At 55.0% G+C, this 23,895-nt stretch overlaps 2 annotated features.

Moving 5' to 3' along the window:
- Positions 6,442–6,561: a silencer, noted in NCBI's record as "silent region_17850". NCBI's record gives its function as "represses an Ori minimal core promoter by ATAC-STARR-seq in GM12878 lymphoblastoid cells {active_cell/tissue: GM12878}" and the evidence as "EXISTENCE:reporter gene assay evidence [ECO:0000049][PMID:35858748]".
- Positions 7,357–7,881: an enhancer, noted in NCBI's record as "H3K4me1 hESC enhancer chr7:1409793-1410317 (GRCh37/hg19 assembly coordinates)". NCBI's record gives its function as "activates a minimal SCP1, AML or CMV promoter by ChIP-STARR-seq in naive H9 embryonic stem cells {active_cell/tissue: H9 hESC(naive)}" and the evidence as "EXISTENCE:reporter gene assay evidence [ECO:0000049][PMID:30033119]".

A 23,895-nucleotide genomic window follows, 5' to 3' on the forward strand; every position in this document is an offset into this window, starting at 1 on the left:
GTCAGGAGATCGAGACCAGCCTGGCCAACATGGCAAAACCCCGTCTCCACTAAAACTACAAAATTAGCCTGGCATGGTGATGCATGCCTGTAGTCCCAGCTACTCGGGAGGCTGAGGTGGGAGAATTGCCCGAACCCGGGAGGTGGAGGTTGCAGTGAGCCGTGATCGTGCCATTGCACTCCAGCCTAGGCAACAAGAGCAAAGCTCCAACTCAAAAGAAAAATGTACCTGAGGTTCTCCATCTCGGTTGTGTGCGGTGGCTTATGCCTGCAATCCCAGCACTTTGGGAGACCAAGGTGGGAGGATCGCTTGAGGCTGGGAAGTCGAGGCTACAGTGAGCTATGATGGGGCTACTGCACTCCAGCCCGGGTGACAGAGCGACAGCCTGTCTCTAAAAAATAAAAATAAGAAAACAAACAAATAGAACACTGGCTGGTCACGGTGGCACGTGCCTATAATCGCAGCACTTTGAGAGGCCACTCAAAGGCAGGAGTTCCAAACCAGCCTGGGCAACATAGAAAGACCCCATCTCTACAAAAAATGTAAAAAATTAGCAGGGCATGGTGGCATGCACCTGTAGTCCCAGCTACTGGGGAGGCTGAGGTGGGAAGATCACTGGAGCCCTGGAGGTCAAGGTTGCAGTGAACTATGACTGCACCACTGCACTCCAGCCTGGGTGACAGAGCCAGACAATCTCTCTAAAAAAAAACAAACAAACAAAAAAAAAACTTAGGCCAGATACAGTGGCTCATACCCTCATACCTGTAATCCCAGCACTTTGGGAGGCTGAGGCGGGCAGATCGCCTGAGGTCAGGAGTTCAAGACCAGCCTGGCCAATATGGCAAAACCCCTATCTCAAAAATTAGCCAGGCGTGGTGATGGGCGCCTATAATCGCAGCTACTTGGGAGGCTAAGGCGTGAGAATCACTTGAACCCAGGAGTCGGAGGTTGCAGTGAGCCGAGATCACACCACTGCACTCCAGCCTGGGCTACACAGCCTGACTCCATCTCGAAAATAAATAAGTAAATATGTTAAAAAATTAAATATAACGAATCCCCACCGTCAGCATTGCTAGGCGCACAATTCAGTAGCGTTAAGCACATTCACGTCCTCGTGCGGCCATCACCACCATCCATCCACATAACATTCTCGTTCTCACCTTCCCAAACTGAAACCCTGCCCCTGGTGAACGCCCACTCCTCACTCCCCATCTCCATCTCCCCTGTGTCAGGCTTCTTACCTGTTCCACGGCCCTGACTATGTTCCATGGACACATCCAGAGCCGAGCCACGCCGTCTGTGTGGGGGCTATGGGAGACGTGTGTGTCCGGACACCCCTCTCCACCAGGTGCTCTCCAGACAGGGGGCGGGCGTTCAACCCACAGAGCCAAACGCTGCCTTCCTGGGCGTGCTGGGACCCGGCTGCTCCATGGGACCAAATGCCCCCCACATTCGTGTGCAAGTAAGACCCCCTGGGCAGGGGCCCACCGCCTGGGGGTGACGACTGTTCCCGGCACAGTAGGAGTGCAGAGGAGGCCGTCTTTGACCTGGGAGAATCCGGGAGTGAGTTGGGGGAGACGGCGGGAACCAAGGCAGGTGAGCTCAGGAGGGAGGCGTGGGGGCGGCTGGGGCTGCCAGGAGTCCACTCTCTACCCTGCAGGGATGGCTGGAGAGGAGCGGGGGCTGACTCAGGAGTGACTCAGGAGTGACAGGTGTTACTCCTGTGGTGAGACCCGGGCTGAGCTCCCTGGTTTACACTGGACCCCGGCACTCACTGGCCGAGAGGGGTGATGGGTGAGCCTCACTCCCCCTGGGCCTCAGTTTCTGGGTCCATCAAACGGGGCTGCTCCCCAGGCCTCCTCCCACTCAGTTTGTCGTCTATGCTCCCCACCAGCTCCGACTACTTCCATGGCATTTATGAGGGAGACCTGGCAGAGTCCAGCACCGCCGGCTGGCGTGGTCACCCACATCTGGGTGGGACACAGGGCTGCCTTGATTGTCTTCCCGGGCAGGTGTCCACAGGGGCCCGGCCACACACACCAGTCGGCAGAGCAGGCGAGAGGCATCTGCCTTCGCCAGAACAAAATAATTAAAAGAGGATTCGGAAGATCAGGCCAGCCTGTCGCTGGGGGAGGCCGAAACTTAACCCTTCCCAGGCTGGGCTGCATGGGCCAGGCCAAGGCCAGTGGGGCAGGCAGGAGCCAGCATTGTATGCCGAGGCCTAGGACCCCAAGGAAGAGGGCCTGGGGGCTTCCCCAGGAGGTACCCACCCTCCTGAAAGCATCCTGCAGGGCCCTCCCCACTGCATCCCCTCTGGGAGCTGCCCTCACCTCCTTAGCTGCTCCACCAACACCTTGGGCTCCTGAAGGCTGGCCCTTGCCTGGGCTCTGTTCAGCTGCAGAATGGACAGGATACTCAAGTGCCTCCCAGCCTGCCAAGCCTCTGCTCCCTTCCCAGGGGCTCCTCATCTTCTCTGCGAGGACTGACATGGTCTGTCGCGGGTGCCCATGGTAGCTGGGGCCAGCCCTCTCCCAGACAAGGGGCAGGCACCAGGCCTGAGGTGGCTGACCGGACACAGGATCACCAGCCTTTACCTTGAGCCACAGCAAAGGGGTAGAGGAGGATGGGGCCTCATGCGCCGAGCAGCGCGGTGACACAACCCTGGTCCACCTGTCCCAACCGCAAACTCCTGCCAGCTTCCTGCTGCACACCTCGCCAGGGGCCCTGTCCCACCCCTGCTCACCAGGGTCTTCAGCTTCCTGGGGCTCATTAACCACCATCCCTTCCTGAATATTTTTGGCTCCAATTAGTCAAAGCTGGTTTTTGTGACTTTGAACCAAAGACCCCAAAAGACACAGCACAGGGAGTGAGAGGAAGGCACGTCACATGCTCTGCAGCCAGGCTGCATGTCTGTTCACCTGAAAAGAACCTCCTGAGGCCCCTGTGTGCCAGGCACTGTTCTAGGCACTGGGGGGATGGCAGAGAACAAGGCAGACACTTGTCCTGAGTGTGCGTTCTACTGGGGCTGGCCAACAAGGGATATGTAAACCACAAATAAATTAGGCAATTTTAAGTAGAAAAGATACTGAGAAAAACGTCCATTAGGAAGGTACATTCTAGGTATCTACTGCTGTCCATCAAACCACCCCAGACTAAAGCAGCGATCATCTTACTGCGCTCATGAACTCTGCAGGTCCAGTTCAGCCTGGGTGCAGAGGATGCCTGCTCGTGGCACCTGCACGTCACTGCTTGAGCTTCCTCACAACATGGTGGCAGGGTTCTGTGGGCAGGTGTCCCAAGAGGACAGACAACAGCCTTTTATGACCTAGCCTTGGAAGTCACTTAGTGTCATTCTGCTGCAGTCATGGCCCCAGATTCCAGACGAGGGAAGATCACCTCCATGTCTTGATGGGCTGGGACCAAGGTCACATGGTCGGAAGAGCACGGGGGAGGGGAAATGCTGCTGCAAGGCAGGGTGGCAGGGTGGCAGGGCAGGCCCCTCTGCAGAGGTGACAGCAGTGGCCAGGAGAAGCCGACTGAGGCCCAGGAGGGTCCGACTGAGGACAGGTAGGGGGTTGGGTTCTGTTCTTATTGCAGTGGGGTGTCCCCTGGATGCCCCACCTTGTGCTGGGCTCTATTCTAGGTCCCGGGGTACTGAGGCAAGGAAGACCCAGTCCCAACCTCAGACCTCATGTCCAGAGGAGTCAGAGAAGCAAAAAGGCGCAGTTCAGGCTATTTCTCTTGGGGTGCTCTGGGCTGCAAAGGACGGAACACCCAGCTCAGCTCACTTGGCTGAGCAACTCAGGGGCTGGGGGGCCATAGCCAAGCAGGCGGACGCTGGGGAGGGATGCTCGATGCCAGGGGGTTCTTGCCAAGCTGGACGTGTATTCATTAACCCCTCCCACCCCATTCTACAGAGGAAGAACGGAGGTGCAGGGAGGTGAGATGGTCGCCCATGACCACAGCTAGCTACAGGCCTGAACTTGCACCCGACACCCGGCTCCACAATTCTTGTGCCTTGATCTGCCTTGGGGAGGGGTGTGGGGTCAGAAAAACACCTGGGTCCGGACGCCCCCAGCCAGTGAGCAGACCCCACATGCACAGTCTCTGCTGACAAGACCCTCGTGCTCTGTAAACGCAGGGCTGCCGTCAGCCAGGCATCCCCGGGGAACCAAGAGGCACACACAAAGCCAGGCAGTCCCAGGGGAGGCCAGCGGTCCCAGGGCACCCAGCCCTGCCCTCCTCAGCTGCCTGCGGGTGCCCTCGGGGCCTGGGTCTGCAGCCCAGATGCATATCCTATCTAGCATCAGGACTGGGCACAGAGAGGTTGCAGAGCCTATCCAGCAGCTCAGGCTGCTTCCCCTACTGTGACCTGATGGAATGCCAGGAAGCCCCAATGCCACCCCTTCAGGCCTGGATCCTGCCCCCGGGGCCCCCACATCCCAGCCCTCCTTCCCAGGAATCCCCTGCTGAAGGACCCCCTTCATCCCGTCCCTGCATCCTAGACCCCACCCTGTGGGAGAGAAACTGAAACCCAGGAAGTTGAACCGTTTGACTGGTGCAGAGCTGGGACACTAACCCAGGATGCCAGCTCGGGCCTCAGCCACACTCGCCGCAGATGCCACCCCTAGCCCTGCCAAGGCCCGGCGCAGACCCTCCCAAACACACACAGCGGGCTTTTATTAAACTTCCTTGTTAATTGCACAAGTAATGCACCAATACATCTGGAGTGAGTTTTAAAACAAATCCCAGACACCATATCATTTCGCTCATAAATACTTCAGTATACAAATGGGGCTTTAAATAATTTGCTGTTTAAATGATGTTTTTTCTCCCGTGAGCAACAGAGTCCATGCTTACAGGCCAGCCGAGGCAGGAAGGCTTCACCCAGGCCGGGTGGCGTCCCGCTCTGCCCTCGGCCGGCTCCGTGCCTGGGCCGTGTTTGTGCATGCGTTCTCTACCATACAGATTTCATTTTGCACCTTTTCTTCTCTTGAGTTCCACATCAGCAATTCCCCAGTGCTGCTCCCAGCTCGAGAAATATCCATCCCAGAGACCTCCTTGGACGCTGCTGTTAGGCTCAATTTTTCGCGGCTATAAACACTGACTGCCCTGAACATCTTTGAGCAGGAGGCGCTGTATGGTTTTCGGATCATTCTCGGAGGAGGGGTTCCCAGACGCTGGACTCCACAATCAAAGCACCCGTCCCCAAATTGCTTTCCAAGAAGACACAAACACTGTTGAAATCCTCGTAAATCATGGTTGTTGGGCAGAGGGGGGTGTGTTCTAATGCAGAGGTCACTCAAGCAGGGGGTGGTGGGAGCACACAGGAGCCAGTCTCCAAGGCCACCAACACCACCTTGCCCGTGGGGGTGACTGAGCACGTTCTTCTGCCTTTCCAGCCTCAGTTTCCCCATCTGTCAAGTGGCCACGGGTTTGAGTGTGCGGCCGACCCTGGGAAGATGGCTCTCCAGGCCTTGGTGGAGGCCGTCCCCAGCCCCAGAGGGAAGACGCGTCTAGCAGTGCCCTGTCCACCTCACTGCCTGCGCCTGCTCTGGAGGAATTCAGAGAGCGCTGGGGAGGGGCCTCCCACCTCTGCAGGGATTGAAGTGTGTTTGTTTTCATTCCCCCTCCCCAGGGCCTCAGCCCTGCCCCCAAGGGAGAAAGGCAGCTTTGCAGAACCCAGGCAGGAAAGCAGAAATCTCAGGGCCCAAGGCCCCCAGCCTGCATCTCTCCCAACCTGCTCCTTTCTGGGGGCCAGAGAGGGGGTGCCACCTGCCCAAGGACACACAGCACCTCTGCGGCAAAGCACCTCTAATCTGCGGGTTCTCTGGTGTCTGAGATCCTGTAACAGGATCTAACCCCATACAGCAGCCCCCCCGTTCCTGAGCGGCCTCCGGTGGCAGCACCTGCCAAGGCCCCACCTCCGGCCCCGTCCTTCCCCAGGCAGGGGCGCCCAGCAGCCGTTTCACAGATGAGGAAACTGAGGCTGAGAGGACCAAGGCTCTCCCCAGGACACCCAGCCGGGCTCTCAGCCAACCAGCTGAACCCCGGGCTGCGCTCTCCCCGCCCCTGCCTGGCGAGTGCAGATTCCCGCCTATTTTCCGACACCCGCCTGCAGAGGAGTCGGGCGCCAGATGGGATCGAACCCAGCAAGGTGAGAAATCCGGGCGGGGTGGCAGATGGGGAGGCCTTCCCCGGGGAACTCCAGGAGAGGGGAGGACAGCGAGGGCCCCGGGCGCGGCCTCTCGTGTGCCCCCAGCCGCGGGGCGCAGGCCCGCAGCCCCCCAGGGGCGCCGCAGCTGTCACTCCGCGGTGAGTGGCGCCATCCGGATCGGAGATGGGCGCGGCTGCATCGCCCCAGGGTAGGAAGCTCATCTTCGGAGACCGCGCGGCTCCGAGCGACCAGGAACGCCCCCTGCGGGCTGCGGGCGGGAGCGCGGACCCCGGCCCATCCCGGACCCCGCCCACCGCGGACCTCACCCATCCTAGGCCCCGCCCATCCCAGACACCGGCCCATCCCTGACCCCGCCCGTCCCTAGCCCCGCCCACCACCGACCCCACCCCTCCAGACCACGCCTATCCCAGGCCCTGCCCACCGCGGACCCCGCCCATCCTGCACCCCGCCCACCACGGACCTAGCCCATTCTTGACCTGACCGGCAGCGACTCCAGCCCATCCTGAACCCCACCTACCGCAGATTCTGCCCGACCCAGCCCACCTAGGACCTTGGCCCACCACGGACCCTGCCCATCCCGGACCCAGCCCACTGTAAGCTCCGCCTATCTCGGACCCCAGCCCATCCCAATTGCCGCCCACTTCATGGTCTCCAGCCACCGCGGACCCCACCCACCGCAGGCCCCGCTCACCGCAGACCACCCCCCAACATCGGCCCCCCCACCCCCACACTGATCCATCGCCCACCTCCGACCCCACCCAGGCTGTCTCAGCCGATGGCCCTGGGACGACTCCAGCACTAATTCGCTGAGGGTCCCCCCACCTCCAGGGCGCCCATTAACCTAAACATTTGTGTGCATTTAATTCCATTTTACAAACGAGGAAACTGAGGCCCGGAGCGTTAGATCACGTGCCCTACTAGGTGGGGCTAGCTGAGACCACTGCGACCCCAGGCAGCCTGTAATGGGATTGCTCCCCCAAAAGGGGCCCTGCTGTGTGGGATATGAGATGGCGGGCAAGGCGGGCAAGGGATTGCAGGCACGTGCTGTGGTGTGGCTGGTGAGGCTGGATTAGCAGGACCGGACCAGCTCATGTGGAGGGGCAGTGTGGATGGTGCAGTGTGGTGAGGGTTGCCCTTCCTTCCTTTGGACAGGGCAGTGGGGAGGTGGAGGCCGGGACGGAGACCCCAGGAGCCCTGGGGACACTCAGGCCAGGCACAGACACTGCCAGGTTTCCTGGACCCCTCCCCATTGCACCTGCTTCGTCTGCAAACTGCTCCCTGTGTGGGCAGAGAGGCCCTGGGGGTGGTCTGGGAGTAGAGACGGAAAACCCTGAGGCTCCCACAGCCAAGCCCCTCCCTGCAGAGAGGGGGCTTCAAAGGTGTGAGACGACAGAGGAGAGGTTGGCAAAGCGCCCCACATCCCCTTCCCTGGCCCACCTCCTCCCAGGGAGAGAGGAAGATGGAGAGGCAGAGAAACCAAGAGAGACAAGGGGGCCAGATCCCAAAGGGAAATGCAGCTGGACAGAGGCAGACAGAGGGACGGGACGGAGAGAGTCAGCGGGAAGAGGTTTCAGGGGAAGATTTTCAAGTTTTTCCTTGGGGTATTTGCACAGAAGGTTTTTAATCTTTGCTGGAACCTGCCTGTGGCTCTGCCCACTTCAGCCAGCAGTGACCACCATGTGACCCACGCAGAGTCGCTGGGCTCAACCCTCCCTGTCAGCCCCAGTGTGGATATGAGCATGGATACCGATAGTTCTGTCTCATGCAGGGCTGGGGCGCTTGGGAGGCTCAAGGCTCCAGCCCAGCCTTGGGAGTCCAGCACAGCCAAGCCAGCCAGCTACACCTGGCCTGGGCCAGAGCTTCGATCATGCAGCCTGCAGAGCTGTGGAAGTGCAGAGGCAAGGAATCGTAGAAAGGATTTTGGAAGTGACATTGACCTCCGCTTGAATGCTTCTGCTGACGGGGAGCTCACTACCTCCAGAGACAGCCTACGTTGTCTCTGGGCATCTCTATGAGTTAGCAAGCACATTCTCATTTTTAGCGGATTCTGTCTCCCTATCACCACCACCTCCCACGTCCAAACCCTTCCCCATGGTTTCCACCAATGACCCCTGGAACCACACACACCGCACACATTTATTTGACAAACATTTATTGAGTGCCTACTGTGTGCTGGACCATAGGCATGAACACGGAGATGAGGCCAGACCTCTTGCGGCTGTCTCCTTAGAAACTGAGGCATGGAGGGAGAAGGGACCCTCCAGGCCTGCACCGCCAAAACCAGAGGAGGCAGAGAACACGCCTCACCTCTGCATCTCCTGCGTGTCAGACCTCAGCCATCATCCCAACAACGTGGTGGGGGGTGTCATGATTATCTTCAATTTCCAGATGAGAAAACTGAGGCTCAGGGGGTCACGGCCCTGGGTCGGGCACCATGCAGGCTGCAATGAGCCATGCCTTGTCTTGGCTACATGATGGGTTTAGGGGTGATCACATGACCCAGTTCAGGCCAGCGAGTCATCAGTGAAAGCAAAGCTGGCCCCCTTTTCCTCTGGATTCAGTTCTGGTCTGGAGCCACGGCAGCTGTCTTGCCATCATGATGGCACTAAGAAAGATGCCAATGGCCGGGTGCGGTGGCTCACGCCTGTAATCCCAGCACTTTGGGAAGCCGAGGAAGGCAGATCACGAGGTCAGGAGATCGAGACCATCCTGGCTATCACGGTGAAACCCTGTCTCTATTAAAATTACAAAAAAAAAAAAAAAACAAAAACAAAAAATTAGCCAGGCATGGCGGCATGCGTCTGTAGTTCCAGCTACTCGGGAGGCTGAGGGAGGAGAATGGCGTGAACCCGGGAGGCAGAGCTTGCAGGGAGCCAAGATTGCGCCACTGCACTCCAGCCTGGGCGACAGAGCAAGACTCCGTCTCAAAAAAAAATAAATAAATAAAAATAGTTTTAAAAAAAGAAAGACACCAACACAGAAAACATCAGAACCAAGAGACAGAAAGACGCTGGGTTACAATGACATCATATGAACTCGGGGAACCCGCCGCTCCTGAAGCTGGTGCCCCTTGGATTTTCACACAAGTGAGAGAACAGATTCCTTCTTTGGCTTAAGCCAGTTTGAATTGTGTTTTCTGTCACCAGCAACCTCAAGTACCCTAAGTTCAAAGAGTTTACTGTCCACAAGAAGAGTTTATTGTCCATAAATAAATGGACACTTGTAAGCATCAGTGTGTGAGTGCTGAGTGGTGGTGGGAGGGCAGGGAGGAAGGCGGGGGCTACGTGCTATTATAACATCTGCTAACACTTATCCCACACAAAGTAAAGGGGTGCACATGAATTAGCTCACAGGATCTTTTTTCTTTTTTTTTGAAATAGTCTCTCTCTGTCACCCAGGCTGGAGTGCGGTGGCATGATCTTGGCTCACTGCAGCCTCTGCCTCCCGGGTTCAAGCGATTCTCATGCCTCAGCCCCGCAAGTAGCTGGGATTACAGGCACAGGCCACCACACCCAGCTAACATTTTTTTTTGTATTTTTAGTAGAGATGGGATTTTGACATGTTGGCCAGGCTGGTTTTGAACTCCTGACTTCGAGTGATCTGCCCACCTCGGTCTCCCACAGTGCTGGGATTACAGGCGTGAGCCACTGTGCCTGGCCGGCTCACTGGATCTTTACAGCAACCCTATGACATAGATTCTGCCAGGATCCCATATCTGAGGATAAATAGTGCTAGCTGCTATGTAAAACAGCCCATCAAAGGCCGACGATTTAACAAAACAGAAGTTTATTCCTTGCTCTTGTCCAGAGCAAGTAGGCGTTTCACAGTCTGCAGGGGTTCGGGGTCCTGAGCTGAACATGTAGGGGGTTCGGAGTCCTGAGCTACTTCCCACATGGGGATCCACCCTTCCTCGGGGACCCGGAACCCACTGGACCTGCCTGGTTGGCCAGTGAGGAAGGAGAGCGGAGGAGGACTCTTGGGAACTCTGAGAAGACTTAGGAGACAGGTCCGAAGTGGCTTCTGACACTTCTGCCCACATTTCATCCACCACAGCTCGCTCACATTTCTGCATCTATCTGCCCAGGAGGCTCGGAAACGTCATCTACCTGGGCCCCCAGGAAGCAAAGAAAAAGGTCTAGTTTTGCTTTGAGAGGTCAACAGGAGACGTCCAAGGTCGCACAGATGGGACAGGACTAAAAGCCAGGCACGACACTTCCGCATAGCTTTCCCTGCACCCTCGGAATCTCTCGAGTGGACTCTCTCCGGGCAGGGCAGTGGCCTGGGGAGGTTGGTCCTTCTAACTCTGGGACGGAGAAACATGAGAATCATGTCAATCATATCACGAGGTACTTGTTGATCGTTATTGCATGATCACCTCCGATTTTCTGACTGGTGCCCTGTTACCTTTAAGTGACTTTGTTGACCCAACCGGTTAGGACTTTTTTTTTTTTTTGAGACGGAGTCTTGATCTGTCACCCAGGCTGGAGTGTACTGGGGCAATCTTGGCTCTCTGCAGCCTCCACCTCCCGGGTTCAAGCGATTCTCCTGCCTCAGCCTCCCAAGTAGCTGGGATTACAGGCTCCCGCCACCACACGCAGCTAATTTTTGTATTTTTAGCAGAGACTGGGTCTTCACCATGTTGGACAGGCTGGTCTCAAACTCTTGACCTCAAGTGATCCGCCCACCTTGGCCTCCCAAAGTGCTGGGATTCCAGGCATGAGACACTGTGCCCACCACAGTTAGAATTTTAATCTGGGGCAAAGGTGGTGGTTTTAAGGTTGTTGTAATTATAAGATGCTGATTTTTTTTTCTCTTTAGGACATAAGCCAGATCAGAGGACCTCCTTTTCCTAGTGGGAGCTTGTATGAGTCTGTTCTTACAAAGCTATAAAGAAATACCTGAGATGGGGTTAATAAAGAAAAGAGGTTTAACTGATGCACGGTTCCACAGGCTGTACGGGAAGCATGGCTGGGAGGCCTCAAGAAACTCACAGTCACAGTGGATTGGAGCATGTCTTTCGTGGCTGGAACAGGAGGAAGAGGGTGAAGGGGGAGGGGCCACACACTTTTAAACAGCCAGATCTTGGGTGTGATGGCTCACACCTTTAATCCCAGCACTTTGGGAGGCTGAGACAGGAGGGTCACTTGAAGCCAGGAGTTCAAGACCAGCCTGGGCAACAAAGCAAGACCCTGTCTCTCTCTCTGTCTGTTTTTTTTTTTTTTTTTTTTTTTTTTTTTTGCTTTGTTGCCCAGGCTGGAGTTCATTGGCATGATCTCGGCTCACTGCCACCTCTGCCTCCTGAGTTCAAGCGATTCTCCTGCCTCAGCCTCCCGAGTAGCTGGGATTACAGGTGCCCACCACCATGCCTGGCTAATTTTTGTATTTTTAGTAGAGACGGGGTTTCACCATGTTGGCCAGGCTGGTCTCGAACTCCTGACCTCAGGTGATCCACCCGCCTCGGCCTCCCAAAGTGCTGGGATTACAGGTGTGAGCCGCCACGCCCGGCCCTGTCTCCTAGTAAAAATAAATTAATGAAAAAACAAACAAAAAAAACCACCAGATATCGCGACAGCTCACTCACTACCACGAGGACAGCAAAGGGGAAATCCACCCCCGTGATCCAATCACTTCCCACCAGGCCCCGCCTCCAGCACTGGGGATTAGAGTTCTGCCTCTGGTCTGGGCAAGGACGCAAACCCAAATCACATTGACTGGCCTGTCTGTTGCAGCGGGAGCGAGCCTGTCTTGCGGGTCTCCTTCTCGGCTCAGACACTTTCTTCCTCTCTCTTTCTCTCTCTCTCTTTCTTTCTTTTTTTTTTTTTTTTTGAGACAGAGTCTTACTCTGTCCCCCAGGCTGGAGTGCAATGGCACGATCTTGATTCACTGCAGCTGCCACCTACCAGGTTCAAGCAATTCTCCTGTCTCAGTCTCCTAGATAGCTGGGATTACAGATATGCGCCACCACGCCCGGCTAATTTTTGTATGTTTAGTAGAGACAGGGTTTCGCCATGTTGGCCAGGCTGGACCTGAACTCCTGAGCTCAGGCAGTCCACCCACGTTGGCCTCCCAAAATGCTGGGATTACAGGCATGAGCCACCACGCCCAGCCTGACACTTTCTTTCTTTCTTTTTTTTTTTTTTTTTTTTGAGACAGAGTCTTGCCTGTCGCCCAGGCTGGAGTGCAGTGGCGCGATCTCCACTCACTGCAAGCTCCGCCTCCTGGGTTCACGCCATTCTCCTGCCTCAGCCTCCCGAGTAGCTGGGATTACAGGTGCCCGCCATCACGCCTGGCTACTTTTTTGTATTTTTAATAGAGATGGGGTTTCACCGTGTTAGCCAGGATGGTCTCGATCTCCTGACCTCGTGATCTGCCCGCCTCGGCCTCCCAAAGTGCTGGGATTACAGGTGTGAGCCACCGCGCCCGGTCCTGGCCCGACGCTTTCTAACGAGACCCTCATTGGTTTGTTTCCTTGGCTTTCCTCTGCTCTCTGAGTGGACGTAAACTCCGCCCATGAGGGCAGGAACCGTGCCTGGTACAGGGCACATGGCAGGAACTCAGGAAATGTTTATTAAATGAATGAAAGAGGAAAATGGCATGAAAGACAGAAAGTGGATAAATTAGACACGGACTGATGTCTGCATTCACCCAGAGGTCCCCCCAGGGGCAGCCCAGGCGGAGATTGCAGGGTGGTGGGAGGCCCTGGGCCCCAAGGGGAGGTGGTGTCTCCAACACACTGTATCAGAGACAGTGGGCAGCCAAGCCCTGCCTCCCCACCTCCCCAGGGCCCCTTCTCAGCCTGATTTTTCTTTTTGTCTTGTTTTATTTTTTGAGAAGGTGTCTTGCTGTGTTGCCCAGGCTGGAGTGTGGTGGAGTGATCATGGCTCACTCCGGCCCCAAACTCTTGGGCTCAAGTGATCCTTCCACCTCTGCCTCCTGAATAGATGGGACCACAGGTGTACACCACCATGCCCTGTTAATTTTTTTATTTTTTGAAATTATTTGCAAAGATGGTGTCTCACTATGCTGTCCAGGCTTTTCTCAAACTCCTGGGCTCAAGCGATCCTCCTGCCTCAGCCCTCCCAAAGTGCTGGGATGACGGGCGTGAGCCCCCACACCTAGCCAGCCTGCAGTTCACAGGACACTCCCTGATGGAGTCTCTCCAGAGGTCCGGCATCCCCACCTCCTTACAGACCAATGTTGCCTGTCGATTTGCAATGTTTTGAAAGGATAGATCCTCTGTTGGGGAAATGGCTACGCTGCCAGCACAGCTGATGGGCCGTAAGCTGGCATGGCCTTTCTGGGGGCTCCTGGGTGACGTGCTTCGGCAGGCTCGGAGGGGCTCTCACCCTGGGCCGGTGAGCATGAGTGCAGGTATCCACCCTGAGAGGATAAAGGTGGAAAGCAAAGTGGTGGGTTCGGGACGTTCACCGCAGTGTTGTTTGTAACAGCCAAAGGCTGGAAATCAGCTGGCAGCCCATCAGAGGACTTGGGTAAGTAAATGGCGGCCATCCACCAGCAGGGCATCGTGCAGGCACTAAACTCAATGCTACAGGAGAATTCCTCGTGGCACAGGAAAGGTCTCATCGTATACCGTTGCGGGAAAAGGGCAGGTCATGAACTGGCAGATAGAAGATTCTGATTTTGTGGAAAGAAAAAAATGGACATGTGTGTGCACAGAAGAAAACTCCAAATGGATTGCTGGTGGGAGTGTAAAATGGTGCAGCCACTGAAGAAAACAGCCCGGTGGCTTCTCAAAAAATTCAACTTAGGGGTGGGTGCGGTGGCTCATGCCTGTGATCCCAGAACTTTGGGAGCCCAAGGTGGGTGGATCACCTGAGGTCAGGAGTTCGAGACAAGCCTGGCCAACATGGCGAAACCCTGTCTCTACTGAAAATATAAAAATTAGCCCGGCATGGTGGTGGGTGCCTGTAGTCCCAACTACTCCCAAGGCTGAGACAGGAGAATCACTTGAACCTGGGAGGCAGAGGTTGCAGGGAGCTGAGATCCCTGGGTGACAGCGCTAGAGCCTGTCTAAAAAAAAAAAAAAAAAAAAAGGTGTCTAGAGCAGTCAAATTCATAGAGAGGAAATGTAGGATGGGGGTGCCAGGGGCTGCAGAGGTGGGTGGGGAGTGAGTTTTCATGGGAACGAAGTTTCAGTTGGGAAGATGGAGCATTCTGGAGATGATGGTGGTGACTGCTGCATAATACTGTGAGTGTGCTTAATGCCACTGAGGATAAATGACGAAGGTAAAATATGCAAACACTGCCCCCTTCCGTGGCCGTGGCATGCACACGCTGCCCCCTTCTGTGGCCATGACATGCAAATGCTGTCCCCTTCCGTGGCCATGGCAGGTGTCTCTGATCGACCACGGCACCTTTTCTGGCCAAGCCTCATGTACTAGTTCCCTACTGCTGCTGTGACAAAGTACCCCAAACTTAGCAACCTGAAACAACACACATTTATTTTCTCTCAGCTCTGCAGGCCAGAAGCCTAAAGTGAATGGGCAGGGCTGGCTCCTTCTGGAGGCTGCAGGGAGGACCTGTTTGCTGACCCTTGCCAGCCCTGGAGGCCCCTTCCTCCTCTTCAAGCCAGCAGTGCCGGGTCTGAGAGCCTCTGACCTCCCTCCCGCTCTGACAAAGACCCTTGCGGGGTGACGTCAGGCCCACCTGGGCAGCCCAGGACCCTCCCCACCTCCAGACCTGCAGCTCACATCTGCGGCCCCTTTGCCAGGTCAGGTGATAGAGGCACAGGTTCTGGGGACCAGGACGTGGACGTCTTCGAGCCATTATTCAGCAGCCCACCCCTGGATCAGCCCCCACCTGGTCACAGCACGTGTGTTCTGATATCCAATATCATGTGGCCCGTGCTATGCGGAGAGCCCGCGTGCAGGGGACAGTCTGTTTTCCTGTTCACTTTCTGAAATCATCTAAGTTTTTCAATGAATAAATTCTTTTGTTTCTCTTATAATCAGATAGATGCTGGATGGATGGATGGATGGATGGATGTAGATATAGATGACAGATAAGTAGATATATATGGATGAAAGATAGAGAATAATCATAGATGACGGATAGATGTAGATATTGTATAAATGTAAATATTGGCTGGGCGCAGTGGCTCACGCCTGTAATCCCAGCACTTTGGGTGGCTGAGGAAGGCAGATCACCTGAGATTAGGAGTTTGTGACCAGCCTGGCCAACATGGTGAAACCCCATCTCTACAAAAATACAAAAAAAATTATCCAGGCATGATGGCAGGGGCCTGTAATCTCAGCTACTTGGGAGGCTGAGGCAGGAGAATCACTTGAATCCAGGAGGCAGAGGTTGCAGTGAGCCGAGATCACACCATTGCACTCCAGCCTGGGCGACAGAGCGAGACTTCATCTCAAAAAAAAAAATGTAAATATTGTTAGATAGATTGGCAGATAGAAGATAGATAATAGAAAAATGATAGATGATAGATAGATAATAAATTATCAATACATGGTAGATAGCAAGATAGAAAGATGATAGGTTATAGATGATTGATAGATTAGATGATAGATAGGTGGATGGATGGATAGGTAGATAGTAGAAAGATGATAGATAGATGATTGATATATAGATAATGGATGAATAGATGGATGGATGATAGATGATAGATTGACAGGTGATAGATGAATAGAAGGATGAATAGATAGATACACAGATATATATATACATAGAAAGATGATAGATTATAGATGATTGATAGGTAGCTGATAGAAGGATAGATGATTGATTAGATGATAGAGAGATAGGTGGATGGATGGATAGATGGTAGAAAGATGATAGATGATTGACATATAGATAATGGATGAATAGATGGATGGATGATAGAAAGATGATAGATTGATAGGTGACAGATGGATAGAAGGATAAATGGACAGATACACAGATACATAGAAAGATGATAGATTATAGCTGATTGACAGGTAGGTGATAGAAGGATAGATAGATGATTGATAGATCAGATGATAGATAGATAGGTGGATGAAGGGATAAATGATAGAAGGATGGTAAATAGATGATTGATAGATGATGAATGAATGGATGGATGGATGATAGAAAGTTAGAAAGATGATAGATTGACAGATAGATAATAGATGACCGATAGATGATAGAAAAGTAATCAATAGATGATAGATAGCAAGATAGATAAAAAGATGATAGATAGATTATAAATGACTGATAGGTAGATAATAGAAAGATAGATGACTGGTAGATTCGATGATAGGTGGATGGATGGATAGATAGATGATAGATAAAAAGATTGACGGACAGATGATAGAAAGAAGGTAGATGATTGATAGATATAGGTGATGGGTGGATAGATGGATGAATGGATGATAGGAAGATGGTAGATATATAGATGATTGATGATAGATGATGGATGAGTGGTTGGATGGATGATGGAAAGATGATAGATGATTGATATAGGGAATGGATGGATGGATGAATGAATGGATGGATGGATGATAGAAAGATGGTAGATAGATGATTGATGATAGATTAGGGATGAGTGGTTGGATGGATGGTGGAAAGATGGGGTAGAATGATAGATGATTGATGATAGATGATGAATTAATGGATGGATGGATGGATGATGGAAAGATGGTAGATTGATAGATGATTGATGATAGATGATGAATTAATGGATGGATGGATGGATGATAGAAAGTTGGTAGGTAGATGATTGATGATAGATGATGAATTAATGGATGGATGGATGGATGATAGAAAGTTGGTAGGTAGATGATTGATGATAGATGATGAATTAATGGATGGATGGATGGATGATAGAAAGTTGGTAGGTAGATGATTGATGATAGATGAATGAATGGAGGATGGATGATGGAAAGATGGTAAATAGATAGATGATTGATATAGATGATCGATGAGTGGTTGGATGGGTGATGGAAAGATGGTAGATAGATGATTGATAGGTATAGGTGATGGATGGGTGGATGGATGGATGGATGGTAGACAGACTGATGATAGATGATGGATGAGTGGTTGGATGGATGATAGAAAGATGGTAAATAGATTGATAGATGATAGAAGGATGGATGGATAGATAGATGAAAGAAAGAAAGAAGATAAATGATTGGTAGATAGACAATAGATAGATAGATGATAGATTGATTGATACACAGATGATAGATAGATAATAGAAAGGCAATAGATAGAAGATAGTAGACAGACAGTAGGTAGATTCTTTTGGGTATGCTGAATGCTGGCCGCAGCATCGTCTCCATGGAGTTCGGGTGGTCCCTGCCCAGGTAGAGACAGAGAGTAAGGGGGGGTCAGGGAGTGCCTCTCGGGGGACACAATGCAGGAGGAGAGAGAATGGGGTGAGGCCAGTGTGCCCAGACACCAGCAAGGGTGGCCGCGGCACGAAGAGCAAGCAGGCAGGAGGGGACCGAGGGAGAAAAGGGCTGTGTGAGGCGGGGCTGAGCGGGCTGGTGGAGAGGCTTCCTCATCCAAGTCCAGGGTTCTGGGGAGTTGGGGGCAGCTGAGCCCCAGAAAGCAGCAGGAGGCAGTATGGGTGCCCAGTGGGTCCTCACTGCCTCTTCGCTGGTCATTCTCAGAGCCACCGTCCCCATTCACAGAAGAGACTCAGAGAAGAGCCTCACTTGGCTCACGCAGAGGGACAGGGCTGAGCCAGGACACCAGCCAGTGCGGTCCTGGGCTCTCCCAGAGACAGGGGGGCTTTAGGGATGTGGAGGGGACAGATGCCTCTTGAGAAGTGGCCAGGATGGGGGTAGAAATGGCTTCAACTGTGGCTGGGTATGGTGGCTCACGCCTGTAATCCCAACACTTTGGGAGGCTGAGGCAGGAGGATCACTTGAGCCCAGGAGTTTGAGACCAGCCTGGGCAACATAGTGAGATCCCCCACAATCTCTACAAAAAATATATTAAAAAATAAAATAAAATTAGTCAGGTGCAGTGGTGCGCAACTATAGCCCCAGCTACTCGAGAGGCTGAGGTGGGAGGATTGCTTGAACCTGGGAGTTTGAGGCTACAGTGAGCCTTGATCACACCACTCATTTCAGCCTGGGCAATAGAGCGAGACCCTGTCTCTAAACACATTTTTTCAATCATACATTTTTTAAAATAAATGTCTTCAAATAGCAGGTGCCAGAGGAGCCAGAGGTGCATTTGGGGTCCCAGAGCCTGGGGCAGCTCATGGGGTCTGGGACCAGCCCTGAGTGTGGGGTCCCAGGCTCTGCCCCCCGAATCCCAGGATGCAGGGAGCCCGCGGCAGCAGGAGTCACCATTTGTCAGGAATTCAATTAGGTGAGAGAGTCGTTATTAATTTTATAGGCTTTCCTGGTCGGAGGAGGCTGTGCTGGGGGTGAGATCCGGGGGCCGCCTCTTCCCTCCCAGCCTGGGGTCAGCCCGCAGAGGCGGTGTGATGGCACTAGTTGAGGTATTAATGAGATGCCTCTAGGTGCAAATAATGGTTTAATAGGTGTTACTTAACAGGAGCACACGCACCTCCCGCACGCACAGATGGCCCGCTGCGCCCAGCCTCCCCTCCTTGTTAGAATAAGTAATTAGAGTGTACGAAGACTCACTTTGACACTTTAATAAAGTACCAGCCATCACCAAGTTGGTATTTAATAAAATAAAATTAAATATTTATTACATTTTTGGTATACATTGTATTTAAAACATATTCATCCCCCACGCGCCACCCCCTCCCAGCCCCCCAAGGGTGTAAACCCAGGGGTGCCCCCTTCTCACCTCTCGGAAGCCATGACTTGGCGAGATGAGGTTGATAATGGGATGTGTGTGGTGGGAGGGAGAGAGGGAGAGACCCCCAGAGGCACCCAGGGAGGAAGACAGGCAAGAGCCGGCCAAGGGGGACAAGAGGGGAGAGAGGCGGCCTGTGGGGTGGTTGAAAGGCACGTGGCCGGAGGCTGCAGAGACGCCTCTGCATTTGAGACCCCAGTCTTCGTTTCTCTGCTTTCCTGTCCTTCCTGCTCACAGCAGCTCAGGTCTCTGCCCCCCACTTCCAGCTTCTGCTTCTTCATTTCCAGCTTCTGCTGCTTCTTCTCCTTCTTCTTTTTTTTTTTTTTTTTTTTTTTGTGGCAGGGTCTCCCTCTGTCACCCAGGCTGGAGTGCAGTGGCACTATCAGAGCTCTCTGCAGCCTCAACCTCCTGGGCTCAAGAGATCTTCCCGCCTCAGCCTCCTGAGTAGCTGGAACTACAGGTGAACCATCAGGTCTGGCGAATTTTTAAATTTTTTGCAGAAACAGGGTCTTGCTATGTTGCCCAGGCTGATCTCAAACTCCTGGGCTCAAGCAGCCTTCCCACGTTGAAGTCCCAAAGTCCTGGGATTACACATTTCCAGCTTTTTATGTATGTATGTATGTATTTATTTATTTATTTATTTGAGACAGGGTCTTGCTCTGTCACCCTGGCTGGAGTGCAGTGGTGCGATCATGGTTCACTGCAGCCTCGACTTCCCAGGCTCACGCGATTCTCCCACCTCAGCCTCCTGAGTAGCTGGGACTACAGGCACACACCACCATGCCCGACTAAGTTTTGTATTTTTTGTAGAGATGGGGGGTCTCACTGTGTTACCCATGCTGGTCTCGAACTCCTGAGCTCAAGCAATCCTCCTGCCTCGGCCTCCTAAAGTGCTGAGATCACAGGCGTGAGCCGCGGCACCCAGCCCACGTTTCCAGCTTCTAATTGTTGGAGCGTGAATCGCCACCAAACTCCTGCCAAGCCAATCCCAAGCTGAGTGTGGGCCTGGGACCCCAGGACGGCGGGGCCCAGGGGCTCACCTCCCGGACGAGGGGCAGGTGTAATTGGGGTGGGAGAGACCCCAAGGCTGCTCCAACTCCCACCACCCCAGTGACCAGCAGGGATCCATCCCATGGATTCAGTAGGGGCCATGGGGACTGGGAAGCACTCTGTGTGTTCCACGAGATGCAGAAACACAGAAAGGCCGAGACGCTCCCAGAGGCTGTGTCCCTCCCAAGAGGAAGCCTCTTTTCTCCTTCCTTCTTCCCGTGCACCCCCAGGCCCTGCAGCTGCTATAAAAACATTTTTTTCCGACTACAAACGATTTTTTTTAAGTTAAGGGTAAGAAAGCAGAGAAGGGGAAGATGCTTGGGGTAAAATGCCTGCATCTGAGAGTGCTGCAGTGTTCACCCCAGAGCAGGAAGCTTCCGGCTGCAGGAGGAGGGCTGGGCACAGACCGTGGGGAGGGTCCACTGGTTTGAATGTGGCACCACCCAGCTGTGAAACATCCGGCCACAGGGACACCAACGACCCCGCCCTCGGCCCCCACCACCGGAGGAGGCGGAATGCAGCTCTCACTCCAGGCAGGATCGTGTGTCATGGTGCCACGTGTGTTCTCCATATGTGTGCAACAAAGACGGCCACCCAGAGCAGCCAGAAAGTGGAACGGACCCAAACACCCGCCCACAGGAGAGTGGACGAGCCACCACGTGGTGGAGTGCTACGCAGCCATGAAAAAGCACAGCCCTCAAGGATGAACTCTGCAAACCCAACACTGAGCCAAGGCGCTGGCCCCGTCATGGGACCCCATGCACGGCGCTCTGGGACCGGCCAGTTTGCAGATGGTGGTGAGAGCCGGCCATCTTCCAGCCTTTTCCGACGTGTGACAAGGGCTCAGCCCAAAGCCTCCCTTCTGAGAGGTGTCTTTGAGGCAGCCCTGCTCCTACCCCCAGTTGCGCCAGACACAACTGCCTCCCTGTGGGCATCACCCTGGAGGGCAGGGGCCCCTACCTCGGGGAGCCCCGCAGAGAAGGATCCTTAGCCCCACTCCATCCTTCTCTGCCGCTGTTCCGCCCCCTGCCCCAGCAGGAACAGTCTCTACCCCTCGTCTGCCTCAGCATGGACAGCCCCAAAAGGCCCCCGCTCCATCCCTTTCTCAGCAGGGTTGGCCTGCAACAGACCAGACATCCAGCCTGCCGAGGAGGGGCAGGGGGTCTTGCTGCCTTCCCCCCGCCCAGTCCCTGCTGCCTCCACGGCCGGACCCCCAGCTTCCGTGGGTGGGAGGCCGCACTGGACTGCGTTGGAGCCCGAGGCCAAGAGGATCATCAGCGACACGGGTTCCATCTTCATGGAGCATTTCGATGTTCTGCTCATCGTGGACTTTTACAATTAATTTTGAAAACTTTAAAGACTGGACCCAAGCCCAGCCAAGTCCGTGGCCACGTCGGGCGCAGGGAGCCAGGGGTCAGGGCTGCGCCTTCCCCAGAGGCCGAGGAGCCCGGGCGGGTCCGGCTGGGGCAGGGGCGCAGGGAGCCAGGGGTCAGGGCTGCGGCTTCCCCAGAGGCCGAGGAGCCCGGGCGGGTCCGGCTGGGGCAGGGGTGCAGATTCTGAGGACGGCTGAGCCCACACAGCAGCACCGCTCAGTGGGACATGGGCCGCGGCGCCTGCTCCAGCCTTGTGCTCTCCTTTCCCTCTCAGTCTCTCCTCTCTCTCCTTGTCTCTGTCTCTGCCTCTCTCTCCTTGTCTCTGTCTCTCTCTCTCTGTAGCTCTGTTTCTCTCTCTCTGTCTCTCCCTGTCTCTCTGTCTGTCTCTCATCTTTGTCTCTGTGTTTCTGTCTCTGTCTCTGTGTCTCTCTCCGTCTCTCCCTCTCTGTCTCTCATCTCTGTCTCTGTGTCTCTCTCCGTCTCTCCCTCTCTGTCTCTGTCTCTCTCCCTGTCTCTCTCTGTCTCTCATCTCTCTGTGTCTTCTCTCTTTGTCTCTGTCTCTCTCTCCCTCTGTGTGTGTGTCTGTTTCCCTGTCTCTGTCTCTATGTCTCCCTCTGTCTCTTCCTCTCCCTCTGTCTCTTCCTCTCTCTCTGTCTCTCTCCCTGTCTGTCTCTGTCTTTGTCTCTCTCCCTGTCTCTCTCTGTCTTTGTCTCTCTCCCTGTCTCTCTCTCCTCATCTCCTCTCTGATGTTTGTGACTGGACTCCTGCGAGCCCCAGCTCAGGGACGGGACCTGCTGACCTCACTGACCACCTTCTGCCCCCGCCTGACCCCGGGTGCCTCACGCGCCATCTCACCCCTTCTTACAGCAGCTCTGCCACCTGGGAGCCATCACATCCCTTCTGCAGACAGGGAAATGGAGGCTGTAGTGGAGATGTGATATCCTGCACCGGCAGGGTGGGTGGAAGGCGGGTGACTCCCCTAGACCCATCTCTTGGCCACCAGCTCCCTGGGTCCCATCCCCTGACCCGTGAGCCCACTCCTGGACACAGGTGTGGCTACAGCAGGTGGGGCAGGCCGGGGCAGGGCAGGCCGGGGCGGGGCAGGCCGGAGGATGTGGTCACCTGGCTGTTAACACCCCCTGGGAGGGTGCTTGCAGATGGGAGGTTGGGTGGGGTGAGGTCACAGCCCAACACTGAAGGAGGGAGGAGGGAGAGGGGTCCTGCCCCAGCTCAGACCCGGCCACTGCCTGTCACATACCCCACCTGTGAGAAACAAATCACACTCGGGCGACCCTTCTCTGACAGGGAGGAGGCCACGGGGTCCTCTCGGACAGAAGGGGAGCAAGCTCCGAGGCTGGAAGCCAGTGAAGGGGGGCCCCAGCCCCGGGTATCACCTGTGCCCATTCCGCCTGCCCGCTGTGAGCCCACTCAGGCCCCCGGCCCCCTCCTGCCTCAGGCCTCAGTGGGGAGAACCTCCTGCCAGCCTCTCAGAACCCCCAACTCAGCAGCATGGCTGGGCCACTGTGTCCCGCTGCGTGATTGGGCCCTGAGGGTCCTCACCTTGCAGACCTCAACGTTTTGTTGACGTTCAACTGTGTGGCTGGTTGTCGGTTTATGTGGCCGGGGTGGGTGACTCTTCCCTGCCTGACGCTGGAGGGGTCTACACACAGGGCCCCGCGTAGACCTCGCACGCCTGGGAGTGTGAAGCCAGGAAGGGACCCCTGCTACAGACCTTCCCACCCTGCCCTGCAGCCTCTGGGATTGAGCGGGTCACCCTCAGAGCCTCCTATGCCGCAGGGAGCCAGGAGAGGGAGCTGGGGGGACAGAGGGGACCCCCCTAGACACCAGAAGGCCAAGTGGCTGCAGAGGCCCCGCCTCCTCCACCCCTCAGGTGTGATGGAAAAGGAAGCTTACAGCTGCCCTTGGCAGAGAAAGGATAAGAACCGCCTCCCTCATCAGTGCCCGTCTGACGGCCCCGGCTCGGGGAAGTCACGCGTCGCTCCTGAGCCACGCACAGATCCCCTCGAAGGCTCCCGAGAGCAGGTGCAGCGGCCGGCAGGTGGACACACCGCCCACACGTGTGCATGGAACACCTGCTCTGTGCCTGCGGCCGAGGAAGTGGGACCCACTGTTTCTCCCTTGACTCACTCTGGGCCCGAAAACTCCAACATTGTGGCCCCACCCCCAGGGTCCTGCTCCAGGCCTGCACCCCGACTGTCTGCTCCCCACAGGAAGCCCTGACCCCACCTCCCTGGGCACCGACGGGTCAGGGGACAGAGTGGCAGCCTCTCCTCCGGGGCCGACGTGTGTGGCTCTGACACGGGGACTTTGGGCTCCAGACAGGGGGCGGGGGACCTCGGGGGTCCTGCAGCCACCCCGGTCTCTACGACTCTACAGAAGCTGCTCTCCAGCCTTCAGTCACGCCTGACACTGCTTCCTTCCCCTGTGCCCGGGGAGCCGGTCCCCAGAGCCACCCTCTGCTGGGGATGGTCCCTGAGCCCCGTTGCCAGGCAACCA

The sequence above is a fragment of the Homo sapiens genome, chromosome 7, assembly GCF_000001405.40.
Source record: "Homo sapiens chromosome 7, GRCh38.p14 Primary Assembly".
Taxonomy (NCBI): Eukaryota; Metazoa; Chordata; class Mammalia; order Primates; family Hominidae; genus Homo; species Homo sapiens.